The sequence below is a fragment of the Homo sapiens genome, chromosome 18, assembly GCF_000001405.40.
Source record: "Homo sapiens chromosome 18, GRCh38.p14 Primary Assembly".
Taxonomy (NCBI): domain Eukaryota; kingdom Metazoa; phylum Chordata; class Mammalia; order Primates; family Hominidae; genus Homo; species Homo sapiens.
In genome coordinates, this window is record NC_000018.10 from 32,064,680 (window position 1) to 32,082,288 (window position 17,609).

At 40.5% G+C, this 17,609-nt stretch overlaps 1 protein-coding gene and 1 pseudogene across 4 annotated transcripts in view; one reads left to right on the forward strand and one right to left on the reverse strand.

The window, feature by feature from the left end:
• The window catches only part of RNF125 (ring finger protein 125), a 71,982-nt gene that overhangs the window by 45,855 nt on the left and 8,518 nt on the right, over window positions 1–17,609 (forward strand). Inside the window, exons 5-6 of one of the 4 annotated variants that reach the window (NM_017831.4) lie at window positions 1,223–1,330; window positions 3,619–8,540. The exons of 1 other annotated variant lie outside the window; for it this stretch is intronic. In NM_017831.4, the coding sequence (NP_060301.2) occupies window positions 1,223–1,330; window positions 3,619–3,705 (195 nt within the window). In that variant the 3' untranslated portion in view covers window positions 3,706–8,540. Of the gene's footprint in view, window positions 1–1,222; window positions 1,331–3,618; window positions 8,541–17,609 lie in introns of those variants that run through there. 2 more of the 4 variants (NM_001436860.1, XM_011526046.4) reach the window with 2 other exon arrangements.
• Window positions 11,167–11,623, reverse strand: RPS15AP35 (ribosomal protein S15a pseudogene 35; annotated as a pseudogene).

The following is a 17,609-nucleotide window of genomic DNA, read 5'->3' on the forward strand; positions in this document are numbered from 1 at the left end:
GTCTGACTCATTTTTGTATTTTTAGTAGAGACAGGGTTTCACCATGTTGGCCATGCTGGTCTTGAACTCTGGGCCTCAAGTAATCTACCTGCCTTGGCCTCCTCTCAAAGTGCTGGGATTACAGGAGTGAGCCACCGCTCCTGGCCAACGTTCATAATTGTTGACCTGGTAATTGCCATTTCTGGTCATTTCTCCTAAGGAACTAATCCCCTAAAAGGTAAACACTATAGTTATTCTCATTTGTGATAGTAAAATATCCATATACAAACAAGTATTCCAAGAGGTAGGCAAACTAATTAAGTAAATTATGGTACATGTATTAATTGTAATATTGTTTAAATAATAAATTGATGAATATGAAACAAATAGTTATATTGTTATGTATGCATATGAGCAAGAAATGCATATGAAGACATGTAATTTTATTTGCTTAATGTTGCTTTCATGTTTATGCAATTTTATAACATAATACTGAGGTATGGCTAATGGATGAATAAAGTTGACAGTTTATTTTTGAATGGTTACCTGTTGTTGTTTTTTGTTGTTATTGTTTGTTTTGTTTTGTCTTGTTTTTTGAGACAGAGTTTTGCTCTTGTTGCCCAGGCTGGTGTGCAATGGCAAGATCTCGGCTCACTGAAACCTCCGCCTCCCAGATTAAAGTGATTCTCCTGCCTCAGCCTCCTGAGTGGCTGGCATTACAGGCATCTGCCACTGCGCCCAGCTAATTTTTGTATTTTTAGTAGAGACAGGGTTTCACCATCTTGGCCTGGCTGGTCTTGAACTCCTGACCTCGTGATCCACCCGCCTCAACCTCCCAAAATGTTGGGATTATAGGTGTGAGCCACTGCACCCCGTCTTGTTTTGTTTTTTTGTGTGTCGGAGTCTTGCTCTGTCGCCAGGCTGGAGGGCAGTGGTGTGATCTTGGCTCACTGCAACCTCTGCCTCCGGGTTCAAGCAATTCTCCTGCCTCAGTCTCCCGAGTAGCTGGGACTATAGGCACGTACCACCACGCCCAGCTAATTTTTGTATTTTTAGTAGAGACGGCGTTTCACCATGTTGGCCAGGATGGTCTCCATCTCTTGACCTGGTGATCCGGCCGCCTCTGCCTCCCAAAGTACTGGGATTACAGGCGTAAGCCACCGCGCCCAGCCGTTGTTTTTAATTCTAACACTAATAACGATTTTAAATTCTTTCTTGAACCCCTGGTCTTGTTTGTTTCCAGTTCTGTCCACTTTGCCGTTTAATACCCGATGAGAATCCAAGCAGCTTCAGTGGCAGTTTAATAAGACATCTGCAAGTTAGTCACACTTTGTTTTATGATGATTTCATAGTAAGTATATTTTCTTATTTTTACATTATGTTTTCATGCTGTCTTGTTAAGCTTACCTTTCCGATCCAAGTGAATAAAATTATAGAGGAAAAAATGTGTATATAGCTATAGTGTTGAGTATTAGCATTAAGTAAGAAATCATGAAAATAGAATGTTTTGGCCTGGTGCAGTGGCTCACGCCTGTAATCCCAACACTTTGGGAGGCCGAGGTGGGCGAATCACTTGAGGTCAGGAGTTCAAGACCAGCCTGGCCAACATGGTGAAATCCTATCTCTATTAAAAATACTAAAAATAAAAAAATTAGCCAGGCATGGTGGTACACGCCTGTAGTCCCAGCTACTCGGTAGGCTGAGGCAGGAGAATCGCTTGAACCCAGGAGGCAGAGGTTTCAGTGAGCTGAGATCACACCACTCCACTCCAGCCTGGGCAACAGAGTGAGACTTTGTCTCAAAAAAAAAAAAAATGAAATGCAATTTCAAGATAAAATTTAATAACGATTGAAGATTGTCATTTGAGAATTTTCTCCATGCTTTCTATCTGCCAATTATTATTATCCAGGTTGGATACAAGGAGCTCAGGTTCTAAACTAGTTTTAAGCAATAGCTCTGTCATATATGTGCGACCTTGCAGAAGGTATTTAACCTCGGAAACTCAGTTTGTGCACTGGTTAAGGGAAGAGATTAAAAGCACCTACTCCCAAAATTCTTCTTAGGATTAAATGAGATAATGTATATAAAGTGCTTTGCACAGTTCAGGTGCAGATGTTAGGCAAATTGGAGATGGGATGGGAGTAGAATTGTTAGGACCACTTGAGGAACTGAACAAGGAACATGACAGAGGCTTTAAATTCTCAGCTCCATATCTCTAAGCATGTCTTTTGTGGCCCATATGGCACACAGGCCTCAACAGAACTTGGTTCTGGTCTATGTGTTCTCTCTGGTAATACAAAGAGGTTTCTCTTGGCCGGGCGTGGTGGCTCACACCTGTAATCCCAGCACTTTGGGAGGCCGAGATGGGCGGATCATGAGGTCAGGAGATCGTGACCATCCTGGCTAACACGGTGAAACCCTGTCTCTACTAAAAATACAAGAAAATTAGTTGGGCATGGTGGCGGGCGCCTGTGGTCCCAGCTACTCTGGAGGCTGAGGCAGGAGAATGGTGTGAACTCGGGAGGCGGAGCTTGCAGTGAACCGTGATCGCGCCACTGCACTCCAGCCTGGGTGACAGAGCGAGACTCCGTCTCAAGAGGTTTCTCTTTACCTTAGCTCTATGAGGTGTTCTAAAAGCCAGGTCGATTCTATGGCTGTTCTGTCTAATCATGCTCAGTCTGTTCTCAAGATCTTTCAGACAAAGCATGATCCAGAGCTAGGCAGGATGAAGCCACTTTGATAGGAATACTTTCCAGCCACTCACAGCCATATTCTTGGGTAGGGAAGTGAACTGGAAGTAGTGTTCTTTGTTTTGATTTTTTGCTTCCTGAGCTACTATATACTAAGCTAAGCACTATATGTATATATCACATTTTATTCCTTGTAGCAACTTCCGTGAAGTGAATACTGTATTTTTATCTTCATTTAACTGAAATATCTGAAGCTCAAAGGTTAACTGAATTATCTAAGAACAAGCCAGTATCAAGACCAAACCTTGTGTTCTGCTGTACTTTATGACTTTCCTTTGGATTTTGTGGGGGTTTTTTTGTTTTGTTTTTATATTGCAGAATGGACTTTGAATAGAGATTTCACCTTTTGTTATTGCGGAAGAGGAGAGGGATTGCAGAGGATAGGGTTCTTAATGGTTTTTGTTTTACTTATAGAATGTGCTGACATAGAATTTTGAATTCCACTTTGACACATAGGAGGCAAGGAGAAAGTTTTGTTTTTAACATTTTCTTCAGAAGTAGCCATTCAGTGGTACTGCTGGCATTGGTGAAGCCTGTGGGGGAGCCTGAACTTTGCTCCATTTTACAGGTTTATGTGGAACATAGCACTCTGACCAGGATTTGTAATGGTGACTAAAAACTTCTCATTATATCAGATAAAAACTTCAAATTTCAAATCAAGACTGTTTATTATGACAGTAACTAGTTAATCGATAGACAACAAAGTGAAGTAGAAAATTCATTAGCCCCAAAGCAAAAGTCCTGGGTTCTATGACAGGCTTTGTGGAACCTTGGACAAGTCTCGTAACTTTAGTTCCCTACAAAATGAGGGTGTTGCATTGACCCTCATCCTCTAGTTTCTGAAATACTATTGACTCTGAATATTTCTAATTATTTTTCTTTATTGTAGGATTTTAATATAATTGAGGAAGCTCTTATCCGAAGAGTCTTAGACCGGTCACTTCTTGAATATGTGAATCACTCGAACACCACATAATTTTATTAAAACGAAGGGAAAAGGGACCACTGAATTGCACCATTTAAGATGCTGCTTGAACAAATGGGAGGGAAGTTGTCAATGATTGATGGGCAAAAATGTACAACACAGTTATGTGTTTGTCCATGTTTATTGTTATAGTGCATTTAAAAACTGCTTTAATTTTAATGGTTTAAATCTGTTTTACATCCTTGAGATTCTTACACATCTAACAACAAAAAAAATTATCTACATCAGTCATTGTTACATGGAAAAGACAGGTGGTAGGCAAGTAGGTGGAGGATCTCGGTTTGCAAATTAGATAATACTCTGTGTATAATGCTACATATCAATAACTACCATCATGGTTAGGCACGATAACTAATCTTTGTTCTGTGTAAAAAAATATGGAGAGTGAAACAAAGTGCAGACATTCAAAGAAATAAGAAATCTGCTCCAATGCTCTTGTTCTAATCTCTAATAGGTTAACGTTAATAATCTTGTATGGGAGTTGGAAAGGAAAATTTTGGAAGTCAAGAAAGTCCATTTAGGCCGGACGCGGTGGCTTACGCTTGTAATCCCAGCACTTTGGGAGGCTGAAGCAGGCGGATCACAAGGTCAGGAGTTCGAGACCAGCCTGGCCAACACTGGTCTCTGTGAAACTCCGTCTCTACTAAAAATACAAAAATTAGCTGGACGTGTTGGCGGGCATCTGTAATACCAGCTACTTGGGAGGCTGAGGCAGAAGAATCACTTGAACCCGGGAGGCAGAGGTTACAGTGAGCTGAGATCGCACCAGTACACTCCAGCCTGGGTAACAGAGCTAGACTCCATCTCAAAAAAAAAAAAAAAAAAAATCCATTTAACCAAATTGTCTTACATAATACTGTAACAAAACAAATTTTGTGTTAGAAAAGTATACTTAATTCTTTGACTTTTTATAACTGCATACATAAGAATTCAATATTTTTCAAATATTTATAGCTTATTTAGAAATATTTCTATAATATAAGCAATTTCTTAAAAACCATCAGATGATACTTACAGTATAAGTATTCACATCCAGACTTTTTAGTAGAAAACCCTAAGGGCTTTGATATCTTTTTTGATTGTAACATTTTAAAAATTATGAAATAAAAGTACTGAAAACCAGACACAAAATTTATAGCTGAATGCCTTATTATAAGGAAATACTCTTTTAGGACTCAGCCAGTCACCCCACGTGTCCTTTTTGTGTCCTGTCACAATTACAACCCCACAAAAGTAACTGCTAGACTGATTTAAATGGTAATCACTTTGTTGCATTTGATTACTGCTGCCACACCTAAATGCATATATCTATATTTTAATATTATCAATTTAAAGTTGTTATTAAATGTATATTTTATTTTACATCTCTTTTTTAATCTAGAAGTTCCTCCTTCTTTCCAGTTCCTTAAAATTTACCTGGTGAAGAACCTGATCCTAGGACCTATAGAGTTTCCCATACTTTGTATTTTGCTGATTGCACACTCATGGCACGGTTCAGCACATTGCCCTGTCCTCTCGATATTAGCACACAGTGCAGGTTCAGGCACATTGAATTTGAGAAGACTTAGGTTCAGTCCTTTGGCAAGACTGTAAATCACGGTGTCTTTCTTTCCTTCCTCCTTCTTCTCTCTCTCTCTCTCTCTCTCTTTCCTTTTCTTTCTCTTTTTTTCAGAGTTGCACTCTGTTGCCCAGGCTGGAGTACAGTGGCACGATCTCGACTCACTGCAACCTCCATCTCCCGGGTTCAAGCAGTTCTCCTGTTTCAGCCTCCCAAGTAGCTGGGACTACAGGTGCACGCCACCATGCCCGGCTAATTTTTGTATTTTTAGTAGAGGGGTTTCACCATAATGGTCAGGCTGGTCTTGAACTCCTGAACTCAAGTGATCCACCAGCCTTGGCCTCCCAAAATGCTGGGATTACAGGCATGAGCCACCATGCCCAGCTAATTTTTGTATTTTTAGTAGAGACAGGGTTTCACCATAATAGCCAGGCTGGTCTCAAACTCCTTACCTTGTGATCCGCCCACCTCAGCCTTCCAAAGTGCTGGGATTATAGGCGTGAGCCACTGTGCCCGGCCTACAGGGTTTTTATCTAACCTTTCTGTTACAACTGTACCTCTCCTTCTGTACTGAAAGTCCTGGTTTTCAAGAACACAGGGCACGATAGAATTAGAACATCCCACAATTACTCATTTCTTTTATTTATCTTACACTTACAGCTGTCTCAGAATAACAATAGAAATACAACCACAAATAATATGGCAATTGAAACAATTAAAAAGTTTTCATTTGCTTTTCTCATTCTTTCCCAATTTTTTTTTTTTTTTGAGATGGAGTCTCGCGCTCTTGTTGCCCAGGCTGGAGTGCAATGGCACGATCTCGGCTCACTGCAACCTCTGCCTCCTGGATTCAAGCAATTCTCCTGCCTCAGCTTCCCGAGTAGCTGGGATTATAGGCATGCGCCACCACGCCCTGCTAATTTTGTATTTTTAGTAGAGTCAGGATTTCTCCACATTGGTCAGGCTGGCCTCAAACTCTCGACCTCAGGTGATCCGCCTGCCTCGGCCTCCCAAAGTGCTGGGATTACAGGTGTGAGCCACTGCGCCCGACATCCCAATTTTTAAAATAGTTATACTATGTCAACATTTTCAGAACATACTGGTATAGCATACTGTACTTTCTTCCTTTTATCCCCCATTTATTCTTAGTTCTTCAACTATATATTTAACACTTGCCCCCAGTTTTGTTTTGTTTTGTTTTGAGGAGGAATCTTGCTCTGTTGCCCAGGCTGGAGTGCAGTGGTGTGATCTTGGCTCACTGCAACCTCCGCCTCCCGGGTTCAAGTGATTCTCCTGCCTCAGCCTCTCGAGTAGCTGGGATTACAAGTGGGCACCACCACACCCGGCTAATTGTTGTATTTTTAGTAGAGATGGGTTTTGCCATGTTGGCCAGGCTGGTTTTGAACTCCTGACCTCAAGTGATCCACCTGTGTTGGCCTCCTAAAGTACTGGGATTACAGGTGTGTGCCACCGCGCCAGGCAATTGCCCCCAGTTTTTATTTGATGGCTCTGACTGTTTCTCATATCTGACTCTTTAATTATGAATCCAGGGCATAGATTAGTATCTCCATCTTGTAAGGATGCAAAGAAGCCATGAAAATAAGTAATATCAACTCCTGAGGATAAAACGTTACTTGACTAGAGTTAGCTTTTTAATTGTAATCATTTATAAACTTCTTTGTTCCTTACATATAAGCATAGTCATAACCATGGTACCCAAAATTTTCTATAAGTTATTGTAACTCCTTAAAGGTCTTGCTACAGTTCTTTTATCCAGTACAAATAATTGGGAAAATGTAAAGCTGAATGAAATCTAGTGAGCCTCATATCCTCCCTTTTAGATATTGATTTTAAGTTTGCTTTTCACAGCTGCTAAAAAGTAACAACTGATTTTTAGTTCCACAACCTCTCTTTCTTCAATTTAGATGGATCATACAATAAAGCAAAATCTGGCTGGTTACAGTGGCTCACACCTATAATCCCAGCACTTTGGGAGGCTGAGGTGGAGGGTCTCATGAGCCCAGGAGTTCAAGACCAACCTGGGCAATATAGTGAGACTCTTTCTATTTAAACAAAAACAAAAACAAACAAACAAACAAACAAAAAGCTGGGCATGATGCACACCTTTAGTTTCAGCTACTAAGGAGGCTGAGGTTGGAGGATCACTTGAGCCTAGGAGGTCAACACTGCAGTGAGCTATGATCATGCTACTGCCCTCCAGCCTGGGCAACAGAGCAAGACCCTGTCTCCAAAAACATAAATAATTAAATATAAATAAAAATAAAGCAAAATCTGTTGGGAAACGAGAAAAAGGAGAGGAATTTTTCAGGAATAATCATAAAAAGAAATGATCATCAGACTGAAAGTCCAGAGCCTGAGAAATGAAAACATATTTTTAAGCATTGGTGTTGACCATGCAGACAAACTTTTGTTAATTCAGAGCGATACAAAAGGCACTTTGAATCTATAAAACTTGAAAAAGTTAAAAATTGTATGTCGGATAAAGCTTTAAGTCATCTGTCACTATTAACCTCAGTGCAGCAATTCTGACTCCTGTGCCTGGATTCCTTTTATGATAATTTTGCCACCTACAGGACAGATTAGGTGCTGGTCGCCTGAATTATTTTGTGTTCTGAATTATTTTGAGCTCTAAAATGGTAAAGTACAAATACTCATTGTTTTACTGTGCCTTTGGCCTTTTATAAAAAGGTATTTATAATTCGTTGATAAAAACCAATATTTGAAGCTGTTGATTACCAACAAAAAAGTTTCACTCTCTTTATAGTGCTTCAGGATACAACTTTTTCAGGGCCTTATTAGAGAAAAACTGATTCACATGTTATTCTTCTAAAGCTAAATTATTAAAATGTAGGTTGAAAGATTGGATTGATTGTGAATCTACACTAAAGATATGGTTCCAGGCAGACCTCCTTAGAGACCTCCAGGCAGACCTCCTTACTGTCTTCAGTGATGTTTAATTTCATTACTGTTACTGGGTGCCAAGTGTCTTTCATTTGGAAGTGAACTTACTCCAGTTATTGAATGTTTATCATATCATAATTTGCATTTTTCCAACATTGAAGGTATTTTAAAAAGTCACTAAGAGATTCATTCTTTTATTATTCAACTACAAAAAAATAGTGTAATGATCAGAATTTAAAATGTGTGATTCTTTTTCTTCTGTAAGTATGTATTGCTATGATAAATAAAAAATGGCAGGACCATTGTTTTTATTAAAATATCTACTGTGTCTATTCTTAAACATTAATCTTGATTACTATTTTACTCAAATTTAATAATGCTTTTTAAATTTTCATCATTGAGCAACATCTATCACAAAGGTGTACATTCATTTAGGCCAGTACTTCTCAACTGGGGGTAATTTTGTCTCCCAGCAGACATTGGCAATGTCTAGATACATTTTGGGTTGTCCTAACAGGGCTTGGGTGTGCTAGTGGCCTGAGATCTAGATACAGGTCAGGGATGCTGTTCAGCATTCTACAGTGCACAAGACAGCCCCTTGCAACAAAGAATTATCCTGCGCAAAATGGCAATAGTGCCTAGGCTTAGAAACTCTGATTTGGTCAACATAATACTGAGCACTATGGATTTATTATTTGTTCTGCTAGCAAGAGGCTTCACTGAAATTTAAAAGGTAAGATGTAGATAGATTCTTCCCCCTGCTAAATCCATACTAAGTTTTGAATGGCTGTAGCTGTCATGCGTACCCATATGTCATGAGCATATTAATTTTTTGATTTTTTGCAAGAACACATACAGGACAGAACACAAGTGTTACTGACGAAACCTCTGATGCCTGTTTGCTGAGTGACGTTCTAGATGATTGAGGGAACCCAGATCAGTTGAGAAGATTTACCTTCATCATTTAGATTATCTTTATTGAAATAAGACAAAATATTACAGAGGGACACTCATGTCTGAGATCCTTGAAGCTAATAGTTATGTTTTTGTATTATTACTAGAAAATCGTGTGGTATTTTAATCCTAAAGATTTCAGCAAAGACAATGCATGGATCTTAAGGCTAATCATTGCCACCAAAATAGCCATGTAAGAAGCCCAACGAAGGAGAATCACAGGGAGTAGTATTGATCTAGGTGAACTGGATTATGGTACAATTACAAGTCCCAAATCCCAGTGCTCACCCAAAGTCTACTGTGGTTCCTGGCTCTTCTCCAGGGAAGCTGTTCTCCAGCTTCAGAATTCCAGGGTACTTTCATCTCATGGCATTTGTATATCACTGTGTGTTCCTATATCACCCCTCGCAACAGGCTGCTGAGTTGGCTACACAGGTAATTTCTGTTCATTATTTGCCAATGCAAGTCACATGGCCATATGTAATGTCAAGGCACTGAGGAAATCCAGTCTTCTCATGTAGAAGACAACTGGATACTGAGGCATAATAGTAATACCAACCATGAAGGTACAAGCCAGGCAGAGTTGACAAGACAGGAAGTACACAGGGTAAAGACATTAAAAATATGTGTGGAAAGGAGGGGTGAAAAGTCAAAATGAGACTAGCTTTCTAAAACATGAAGTCATGTTCATTTTTGCCATGGTAGTATTTTCTTTTTCTTTTCTTTTTTTTTAGAGATGGAGTCTTGCTCTGTTACCCAGGCTGGAGTGCAGTGGCACGATCTCAGCTCACTGCAACCTCCACCTCCCAGGTTCAAGCAATTCTCCTGTCTCAGTCTCCTGAGTAGCTGGGACTACAGGCATGCACCACCATGCCCAGCTAATTTTTGTATTTTTAGTAGAGACGGAGTTTCACCATATTGGTCAGGCTGGTCTCGAACTCCTGACCTCAGATGATCCGCCTGCCTTGGCCTCCCAAAGTGCTGGGATTACAGGCGTGAGCCACCACGCCTGGCCCTGCCATGGTAATATTTTCATTAATTTTACTTAAAGTTTGGGATTATTTTACAAAATGAAAGAACTGTCAGTTTCTCAGACATAAGATAGTGATTTCTTTTTTTGAATTGTTCTTTCTTATTTATTAACAAAAATGCCAAATATGTTCTCTGTCCCTTACAACAGTATTTTCTCAGTGTACTCCTTGTGTGCCGCCATCAGAACCACTTGGGATACTTGTTATAATTACACTTTCCTGGGCCCTCTCCAGATGTACAGAATCTCTGAAATTATCATGGATTCATCAGGAAGTCATTGATATGTATGCCAACCTGCCCATTTCTCACCACCTCCATTTTTACAATTCTACTCCATCCATCAGCGTCTCTTGCCTGGATCCCTAGAGCTATCTAACTGGACTCTGTGCCCACATTTAAGAAATTGTCCATTTCTTAGCCAGTTGTGGTGGCTCACGCCTGTAATCCCTGCATTTTGGGAGGCTGAGGTGGGTGAATCATCTGAGGTCAGGAGTTCGAGACCAGCCTGGCCAACATGATGAAACCCCGTCTCTACTAAAAATACAAAAAATTGGCCAGGCACAGTGGCTCATGCCTGTAATCCCAGCACTTTGGGAGGCCAAGATGGGTGGATCACCTGAGGTCGGGAGTTCAAGACCAGCCTGACCAACATGGAGAAATCCCAACTCTACTAAAAATACAAAATTAGCTGGGCTTGGTGGTGCATGCCTGTAATCCCAGCTACTCAGGAGGCTGAGGCAGGAAAATTGCTTGAACCTGGGAGGTGGAGGTTGCAGTGAGCCGAAATTGTGCCATTGCACTCTAGCCTGGGCAACAAGAGCTAAACTCCATCTCAAAAAAAAAAAAAAAAAAAGGTCCATTCCTCATACAGCAGTTGGAGAGATCTTTAAAAGCATCAATCTGATTGTGCCATGCCACCTTTTCACTGCTTAAAATGCTCCCAGGGCCTCCATTGTTTTCTTTGTTGTTGTTGTTTGTGTGTGTATGTCCACGAGTCATTTTATTTGTAAATATATATTACATCTCTAGAAAAGAATCCTAGGATTTTCCCTCCTGTGTGTTTTCGTCTTTGCTTCTTCATGGTCCATGATGCCAGCTGAGGTTGTCAGTACAATGAAACCAAACTGGCAGGATGGGAGCAGATTATTCTGCCATTTTTCTAGATCTTTGAGTTGCACGTCAAATCTGGGGCTAATCACTCTACACTTGTTTAGCCTGCCTGTGAGGTTCACAATCTTCCCAGCTCTGATCATCAATGATTTCAGACTCGCCAATGTAACCATGCTTCATTATCACAGTTAGAAACCGGATGATGACTTTGGAGCATGGCCCAATAAGAACCTGGTGTTTGCCTCTCTTTTTGGCATTGTTGATGCTCTTGAGAGCATCAGCCAGGACATTTATGCGCACCATTGTGGTGACATGGAAAGATTGTGGAAAGAGGTTTTTTTTGGTTGTTTTTTTGTTTTTTTTTTGAAACAGGGTCTCACTCTGTCTTCCAGGCTGAGTGCAGTGGTATGATTACAGCTCACTGCAACCTCGACCTTTTGGGCTTGAGCCATCCTCCCACCTCACCCTCCCTAGTAGCTGGGATCATAGACATGCACTACCATGCTGGGCTAATTTGTAAAATTTTTGTAGAAATGGAGGTCTCACTATGTTGCCCAGGTTGGTCTCTTGGACTCCAGCCATTCTCTTGCTTTGGCTTCTCAAAGTGTTGAGATTACAGGTGTGAGCCAACACGCCCGGCCTCCATTATTATGAGAATAAATTCTAAAGGCCTTTCCATGCCCTTCAATGAAAGCCCTTCACAACCTGGTCCCTGCCCACTCTCCAACTTCATCTCACTCCACTCTCTCCCTTGATCCTTATACTTCGGCCACACTGTTAGGTTTATTAAACACACCAAACTTACAGTGGGTCCTGCATCTTGGCACTTTCTATTCCTTCTGTTTGAAAAGCTCTTCGCTGGGAGTTTGACATGACTGCCTTCTAAATCATTCAACTGTCAGCTCAAATGTCATCTTCTCATAAAGGAATTACCTTGTAATTCCAGCCAAAGTCACTCCTCCACCAAATCTGTCTATTGTTTTACTGTAATGTCTCCATAACTGTACTAGAATGAGAAGTTATCTTATACATTTATTTTCATTTTTATTGGTTATTTCCTCTCTCTAGAATATAAATTTTGGATTGCAAGTATTCACCACTAAATTCTCCAAAATCTAAAACAATGGCACATGTCAAGTACTTAGTAAATATTTCAGCTGTCTAATCTATCATGAGACCTACTGATGATATATACACATATACATCATCAGTGTGTGATGATAACACACATATAAAACATCCAGCATGAAGTAGAAGGATTGCTTGGCCCAGGAGTTCAGGAATTTGAGGCTATAGTGCACTATGATAGTGCCTGTGAATAGCCACTGCATTCCAGCCTGGGCGACATAGCAACCCCTCTCCCCATTTTTTTTTTTTTTTTTTTTTTTGAGACATGTAATCCCAACACTTAAGACGGAGTCTTGCTCTGTTGCCCAGGCTAGAGTGCAGTGGTGTGATCTCAGCTCAATGCAACCTCTGCCTCCCGGGTTCAAGCGATTCTCCTACCTCAGCCTCCTGAGTAGCTGGGATTACAGGCATGTATCACTACGCTCAGCTAATTTTTGTATTTTAGCAGAGGCAGTGTTTCACCTTGTTGGCCAGGCTGGTCTCGAACTCCTGACCTCAAGTGATCCGCCCACCTCGGCCTCCCAAATTGCTGGGATTACAGGTGTGAGCCACCTCGCCGGGCCGTAAAACCCCATTTTTGAAAGAAGAAAAAAATCATAATATTACCAGTAATCAAAGACATTAACTTGACCACTCTAGTCATGTACCATTTTTCTCTCTTAGCATAATGTCTGGCATAGTGTAACCTCTAATAATTTTTTTTTTTTTTAGAGACATGGTTTCACCCTCTCACCCAGGCTGGAGTGCAGTGGTGTGACATGGCTCACTGCAGCCTTGACCTCCCAGGTCCAAGTGATCCTCCTACCTCAGCCTCCTGAGTAGCTGGGACTATAGGCACACACCACCACATCTAGCTAATTTTTAAAATTTTTTGTAGAGACAGGGTCTCACTATGTTGCCTAAGCTGGCTGCAAACTCCTGGGCTCAAGTGACCCTCCCACCTCAGCCTCCCAAAGTGCTGAGATTACAGGCGTGAGCTACCAGGCCCAGCCTCCAATAAATATTTTTTGATTCAGTCTATTAGCAAAATTTCTCAATTAATAATCCCCCATGAAAGGATGATATGGTGAAACTGGCATATTGTGCTGGTGATAGCGGTATAACTTACACATTTCAAAGCAAGTTGATAGTAATATCTTACCTCTTGGCCCAGTAATTCTACATCTGGAAATATTTCCTGGCACTCTAATCCAAAATGGAATCTATATGCAGGATAAAATTTATTGCAACACCATTCATAATGACAAAAAAAGGAGTGGGACGTAATAAAGTCTAATAACGGTTAAATAGTGGCACTTTTTGATTGTCACTGTCATTAGATAGGTGAATATCCTTCCTGTAGGATATAGCTTAAAAATAATAATAATAAAGATCGGTGAATACATCATTCATAGCTGGGCACGGTGGCATGTGCCCATAGTAGTCCCAGCTACTTGGGAGGCCGAGGCATGAGGACTGTATAAGCCCAGGAGTTCAACGCTGCAATGAGCTATGATCATGCCATTGCACTCCAGCCTGGGCAACAGAGTGAGACCAAATCTCTAAAAAAAAAAGAAAAGAAAAAAAATACATCATTCAGTTTACTGTCAAGTCAGCTTGGGAAGAAATGTGTATCTTTAAATTACTATATTTAAACTTTGCTTTAGTTAGTTTTAATTTAATTCTCATAGAGCAATCCTTTTCACTGTTTCTAAGGTTTTAGGAAATATTTTATTGTTGCCCTAGTCCTTCCATCCCCAACACATCATGTTGTTTTATGCCTCTGTGATTTTGCACACTTTTTCCTCAGCCTGAAATAAATTTCATTATTTTTCTGAAAAGACTTCCTTGACCCACCCAAGTAGAGTCAGTCACACCATCTTTTATATCACCAGTATCCCTTGACCATACATCTATTGCTACAGTTATCACATTATATTTCTTTGTTTATATATCTGAGATCCATGAGATGGGGAGTTCCTTGAGGGCAAAGGTTGGGATTTATCTTTGTAATCACAGGGCTTTACTAGAAATTCAATTCATGTGTCAATCTGCTCAGGCTACAATAAAAAAATACCATAGACTGGGTGACTTCAGTAACAGATTTTTGGACAGCCGACTTCTCACTGCGTCCTTACATGGTGGGGAGGGAGAGAAAGAGAGAGAGAAGATCTCTGGAGTCTCTTATAAGGGGATTAATCTCCTCTGAGGGTTCCACTCTCCTGACCTCATCTAATCCTAATTACCATCCAAATGCCCCATCTTCAAATACTATCAAATGGTGGGTTAGAGCTTCAACATATGAATTTTGGAAGACACAAACATTCAGTCCTTAACAACATGTTCATTGACTGGATGAATGAATGGCTAAAAAATGGATGAGACTATTCATGTTAGCTTTTCAGTGTATTTTCTTAGCAATAAAGCCTACATGGGGAGCAAAATTATAATGAAGAAAGCAGCCCTGTGTCTAAATTTGTGCATTATTGTTTCTGGAACTTAGCAACAGTGTCATGCATCTCTGTAGGCACTCCATAAACATCTGATAAATAAGTTAGTGAATAAATTGTAGTTTGATATGCTTACACAAGATGTTCTTAATGAATAATGTCTTCAAGCCAGATGCATTCCTTCTCTTTAGAGATATGCCCATCAAGTGAACCAAACTACCAGACAACTTCTCTCCTGGACAGAGTTCTAAAGTAAAGATTTAGTCCAGTGATATAGCTCTTATAGGAGAAGCGGTATTATTTTGTGTTCATTTTAAAGCTATAGTGCTAATTCTGAAGGACAACTGTATATATTATAGTTGCTGAGTTTCATTGGCTCTAGATGTTACAGTGTAGTAATCTGCTACAGAGTCAACCTAGGTAACCAAATAAAATGGACTAACCTAGGTAATCACGTAAAATGAAGAAAATGTTTAGCTCTTATATCCACTATGTTTTTGTTTTTGTTTTGTTTTGTTTTGAGATGGAGTCCCGCTCTGTCGCCCAGGCTGGAGTGCAGTGGTGCAATCTCGGCTCACTACAACCTCCGCCTCCTGGGATCAAGCGATTCTCCTGCCTCTGACTCCCTGGTAGCTGGGATTACAGGCACGCGCCACCACGCCCAGCTAATTTTTGTATTTTTAGTAGAGACAGGGTTTCACCATGTTGGCCAGGCTGGTCTCAAACTCCTGACCTCAGGTGATCTGCCCACCTCGGCCTCTCAAAATGCTAGGATTACAAGTGTGAGCCACCACGTCCGGCCTATCCACTATGTTTTGATATACCTCTAAGGGTATTTCACTTTGTGCCTTTGAAACACTCTTACTAATGTATGCAAGAAGGTCAAAGTCTTATAACAAAATCATACTGTCCTTTGACAGTATTTCAAGGATGTGTCCTCCAGAAATTTCCGCCTTGAGGCATGCTGGTTTTAAAACTACCTTAAAGAGAGAAACTGTAACTTTCTAATTTAAAAAACTTAATAAAGTGATCAAACTCTTAGAATGGTAGTTGAAAGTAGAAAAGGGGAGTTGTTGTTCATGGGTATGGAGTTTCAGTTCTGCAAGATAAAACGTTTTAGAGATCTGTTGCGTAACAAGGTGACTATAGATAACGCTACTGTCTTATACACTTAAAAGTCATGAAACCTCGTCTCTACTAAAAATACAAAAAATTAGCTGGGCGTGATGGCGGACGCCTGTAGTCCCAGCTACTCGGGAGAATGGCGTGAACCCGGGAGGCGGAGCTTGCAGTGAGCCAAGATGGCGCCACTGCACTCTAGCCTGGGGGACTGTGCGAGACTGCGTCTCAAAAAGGCAAAAAAAATAGGGTCAGAATGGGCTGGGCGCGGTGGTTTACGCCTGTAATCCGAGCACTTTGGGAGGCTGAGGCAGGCGGATCACGAGGTCAGGAGTTTGAAACTAGCCTGACCCAACATGGTGAAACCCCGTGTCTACTAAAAATACAATCATTAACCGAGTGTGATGGCGCAGGTCTGTAAGCCTATAATCCCAGCTACTCAGGAAGCTGAGGCAGGAGAATCGCTTGCATCCGGGAGGCAGAGGTTGCAGTGAGCCAAGATCTCGCCACTGGACTCCATCCTAGGCAACAGAGTGAGACTACATCTGAAAAAAAAAAAAAAAAAGGTCAGAATGGTAAATTTCATGTTGTGTGTTTTTAAACACAAAGAAAAAAACAACAAACAAAAAATTTTAAGCAAATACCATGGTGTATATATAGTTCTATGACACCCAGTTTAGGAAATTATAATTGTCAGTGAAATTTAGGAAAGAAGAAATGTCATCTTACTGGCAAAGCTCTTGGGGTTTCAAAAATGAAGTATTTAAATATAGAGACAACAACTTTACTCTCTGTTGCTATTTTTTTCACCCACTGGTCTCTCTCCAGACTTTGGATGAAGCTTAAAGCACAGAACATTGTTTGCTTGTTTCCCCCACCATTTGCAGTGATTGTACCATCTCTTAGATATTTACTGAGTTACAAGTTATAGTTAGTATCACCCCCATTTTAACTTAATTACTTTTTAAAAGCCATACCTCCAAAAAGAGTCACATTCTAAGGTACTGGGGTTAGAACTTAAACATAGGAATTGGGGAGAGAAAAGGATACAATTCAACCTATAAAATCTATTATAATTTAAAATTTTTAATATTAAACTTTCTCTGTTCAAATTATTGTGTGGTTTCTCTCTCATGATTAGACCCAGACTGATAAATCAGATTGTGTTGATTTTTCCTGAGCACTTTCAATAAGGTACAACCAGAAATTTACATTCTTCCATGGAGATTTTTCTGGATGTGAGTAGAAAAAAGGAAGTTGGGAATTGAGAATGTGGAGGTCCAAATGAAGAAAGTAATCATTTGATGGACTGAGGTACAGGAGTCAAGTTCTTTGATTCACTTCCTTTTCTGTATGTAAGTTTGAAATGCTGAGTGGGAAAGTTTGAGATCCTGGCAACCGGAGTGGGAAGGAATGAATGGAATGGAGGGTTTGGGGAATCTTGGCTCCCTGAGCTACATTAGAGAACCTCACACTGGCTTCCCTCCTGGCAAATCAAATAGGATGTCACTATCAGTACAAAATACATTGGACTGGTATTCAGTACATTACACTGGCTTCCCTCCTGGCAAATCAAATAGGAAAACAAAACCTCACACTGGCTTCTCTCCTGGCAAATCAAATAAGATGTCACTACCTGCACA